At 39.3% G+C, this 4,450-nt stretch overlaps 1 annotated feature.

Annotated features, from left to right (window-relative positions):
• Positions 696-896: a silencer, noted in NCBI's record as "peak2899 fragment used in MPRA reporter construct". NCBI's record gives its function as "represses an SCP1 promoter by STARR-seq MPRAs in K562 erythroleukemia cells {active_cell/tissue: K562}" and the evidence as "EXISTENCE:reporter gene assay evidence [ECO:0000049][PMID:32103011]".

Raw genomic sequence — 4,450 nt, forward strand, 5'->3', positions numbered from 1 at the left:
GTTACTTTTTTATTGCCCTCTTTATCCCAAATTAGCCTGAGGAGCTAGGTCAAGGTGGACACACCCCTCGCTCCTGCTTTTTAGGAACCTGTAATATCTAAGCTACATCACATTGTTTCTCCTTAGACTTGTTTCCACCTCCCAATGTGTGGAATCCCACGTAGTCTCCTGACTTGATTCCTGGCTCTGGCTCATGTTGTATTCTTCCAGCTCTATCATTTATTCCCTAAGTATTCTTGAAGGCTAGGTTGTTCTTTTGAAAAAAATTCCAAACTTGGTTTTTTGTTTGTTGGTTTGTTTGGCTTTCTTTTTCATTCCCCTTAACTTAAGGCAGTGAATGCCACAGAGCTAGATTCCAATGAGGAACAGGAAATACCAAAAAAAAAAAAAATTTTTTTTAAAAAGCAACTTTTAGTAATTATTCCAAAATATCATGAAGCCATGACTGTCAACCCTGCTGATTGCTCTTAGCTTATCGAGAATTTTATTCATTTGTTAAGAAGTGAGCTTCTGCAGACGTCTTCAATTTGGGGAAAATAAATTTCTTTATCTGACTGATTTCGAGAGCTGTAAAAGTATTTACTTAAGTAAATATTGCTATAATTTCACAAGTTCTTTTTTCCCATCCATGAAGTTACCAATGCATTATTTCTGTCACTAAAAATGAGAAGAATTAACCTTGCTACACTCTCTGGATTTACTGATTGAGGCCTTAGTGTCTGTCCCTTATGTTTCTGGATTTGCAAATGAGACAGGGCTGAGCGTTATCTCACAACTCATGCAAATTAGATGCCAGGAAGGCTATTGAAAAGGGAAGATGGTATCATCTGTCTTGCAAGGGCATTGCTCAGAATGACAGCCCCAAATTTAACCTCCTCTTTTCCTTCAAATAAATTGATATCTCAACTCAGCCTCCCTAACAAGTCATCTGCTTCATTGAAATGAAATTCCAGCCACACTGAGGAGAGCCACTAGACAGAATATGTCACTTGCTGCCTTTGTTTTCTTAGGCTAGAAAGGTCCATAACCTGAAGGATGGATTGCATTGAAGAATGTTTAAGGAAAACTTTTGACGTGACTGAGGAAAGGGTGAGGGGTGGCAAGGAAGGACGCTTCCCTGATTTTTAGATGCTCCACATTGATGGGCTTTAGTCAATGGCATACCTGCTGGGTCCTGCCATCATTCCTGCATTTCCTATGATACCTACAAAAGAATTTATACTTTGATGCTGTCAAACTTATTCACCACCTAATACATTATGACAGTCCAGGCTTAAGATAAATTCAAATTCAATCCATGGCACAAAAATATAAGCACCTAAGCAATAATAGGCATCATTTGTTTCGGATTACTCAGGTAAACCAATCGTTGGGGTCAAACTCCTCAATCAAGAGGTGCACATATGTTTATGACAGGAATACAAGTGGAAAGCGTGCCTAAGAAACTAATCATTTATTCAACAAATATTTATTTATGTTCCAGGGACTATTCTAGTGCTTGAGATACAGTTGCAAGCCAAACGACAAGGTCACCATGCTTGAGAGTTTATATGTTACTGGGGAGACAGACAGAATATACCAGAAAATCAAATACTGTAAGAAACTAGCTGATTTCAGATTGACTTAAGTAGCATGATGGAAACTAAACAGGGTGAGGTGATAGGAGCAATCAGTGGAGTAGTTTCACTTTGAATAGGGTGGGCAGGGAAGAACTCTCTGAAGAGGTGATGTCTGAGATGAGACATGAACAATAAGAAGGAGACAGATGTAAAACAAAGTGCGTTCAACAGTAAAAACCTGAAGGTATGAAAGATCTTGGGGATGGTCCACGACTTTAGAGCCCTGTGTGGCTGGAGACTAGTGACCAAGTCCAAGGGACAGACTGGGCCAGGACCATTGGAATTGGTGGGAAGACTTTGAAGTGTTTTCAAGTAAAAAACATGCCATCTAAGTTTTTATATCAAACTGGGTGACAGCAGAGAAAGAGTGAGGCAGAGACACTGGTTAGCTGGCAACAGTGTAACCCAGGTAGGTGAGTAATGGAAGGGAAGACAGACTAGGGTGTTTGGCAAAAACTTAACCACATCTGTTTTGAATCCAAAAAAATATAGTTAATTAGTTAATTCTTCGTTTTATTTATTTATTTATTTATTTATTGAGACAGGGTCTCACTCTGGCAACCAGGCTGGAGTGCCGTGGAGCCACTGTGGCTCACTGCAGCCTCAACCTCCGGGGCTCAGGTGATTCTCCCACCTCAGCCTCCGGAGTAGCTGGGACTATAGGAGTGCACGCCACCATGCCTGGCTAATTTTTCTGTTTTTCATTTTTTTGTAGAGGTAGTATTTCACTATGTTGGTCTCAAACTCCTGGGCTCAAGCATTCTGCCCACCTCAGCCTCCCAAAGTGCTGGGATTACAGGCGTAAGCCACTGCACCCGGCCAGTTAATTCTTTATTCTATAACTAATGGATGCTGAAAGAAAGAGAGAGTAAACTACTTTCTCCTCACTTCAGAAAATTTTGGAGAGAATCTATTAGGGAGAAAAAAGAAAAGAAGTAAAAGTGGAGGGCAGATCCATCGATGGTGTCATTGGCAACATAAAGAAAAGCATGTGTAAGTTTTAGGAATCAACATCACCTTCAACATTTCATGATTCCATCCACTTTTTCCAAGAAGGGAGATCAAAGGTTACCATGCAAGTGCTAAAAAGCAAATTCAGATAAAAAGAATTTGGCAGTAAAACTGTCTTTACAGGAGATGAAAAAAAAAACTCTCAGAAGAGAAAGCCTACCACTAAGGACAGGGAGAAAAACATAGTCATATTTAGTTTTATTGGGACCCACCCTCGGCTTGATTAATTGGATAATCAAAATTTCTATTTAGTTTCAATTGCTTATCAGATCAAAGTAAAGCCATTCATGAATAGCACACCATCTGTATAAGCAAAATTTCCACAGCATCTTCTCTCAGTGCAGGAGTCTTTAAGTTTATTAATAATATCATTACAGTGCAGATTCTTTGTTTTAAGTTTATTAATAATATCATTACAATGACTAGTGATTACCTTGTGACAGTTTTAAGATACCTTATATGTATTGTTTTACTTAATCTTCACAAAAACCTATGGAGTAGATCCTGTTACCCTCATTTTACAGATGAGGAAACTAAGACAAAAGGTGTCAAACAAATTGCCCAAAATCACATGGCTAGCAAGTGGCAGAGCCAGAATTAGAAGCCACATTGACCATCAAGCTTTGACTCAAAACCACTGACGTTCTTGACATTCACCACAGGTGAATCAAGAAATTCTGTAGAAACTCACCTTGAAGTACATACACACACACACACACACACACACAGAGAGAGAGAGACAGACAGACAGACAGAGACAGAGAAAGAAAGAGAGAGAAAAGGAGAAAGAAATTTATTTTTAAAAACTGGATCACACAATTATGGAGGCTAGTAAGTCCAAAATCTGCAGAGTGGACCAGCAAACTAGAGAGACCCGGGAAGAACTGATGCCGCAGTTCAAATCCAAAGGCTGTCAGATTGGAGGCCCAGGAAGGACCAGTGTTGCAGTTAAAGTCCAAAGACCATCCACGGGCAGAATCTCTTCTTACTTGAGAGAGGCCAGTCTTTTATTCTATTCATACCTTCAACTGATTGGATGACACCTACCCACAGGATGGTAGGCAATCCGTTTTACTCAAAGTCCACCAAGTTACACGTAAATATCATCAAAAAACACCCTCATAAAAACATCCAGAATAATGTTCAGCCATATATCTGGGGACCATGGGTCAGCAGGTTGACATATAAAATTAATGATCACACTTACTTTTGCAAAAGAAGGAAACTATCTGTGGCCTCTCAACCTCTCAACTTTTTCATGTTGATTCTTCCCTGGGAATGTCCCTCTCTTCTTTGGGATGCGGTACAACACAGACTAATGATTAAATGCATGAGTTTTGGTTTCAACCTGGTTTTTGAGTCTGAGCTCTGCTACTATTTTTGTAACCTCAGGAAGGTCACATTCACCCTCTACCCAAAGGTTCCTCATTTGTAGAATAGGACTGAAATATCTCCAACCCCTAGGGTTGCAACAAAGTAATAGAAGTAGAGCTCTTGGCTCACTGGCACATGAAAGGTCTACACAATGTTCAGTAATAGCAGAAGTCCTCCAGCCTTGCCCAGGTCATGGTGAAGGCAAAATTTTCATTATGTAGAACAGAAAAAAAAAAAAACCATAAAAAATCAAAATTATAAAATAGTCCTTAAATTCCCAAAGCCAGACTCATACTAGGATATTTTTCTACCTCTTCAGACTCACCATGATGATTCTTTTCTTTGCATTGCTTTGCAAATAATTGCATCTGCACAGTTTAACACGTATTTCTATTCTTTAAATCAGTGTATTCCTTAGAACTACAGGATATTAATAGGTGTCACCC

This window comes from Homo sapiens, chromosome 17, assembly GCF_000001405.40.
Source record: "Homo sapiens chromosome 17, GRCh38.p14 Primary Assembly".
In the NCBI taxonomy this organism is placed as follows: Eukaryota; Metazoa; Chordata; class Mammalia; order Primates; family Hominidae; genus Homo; species Homo sapiens.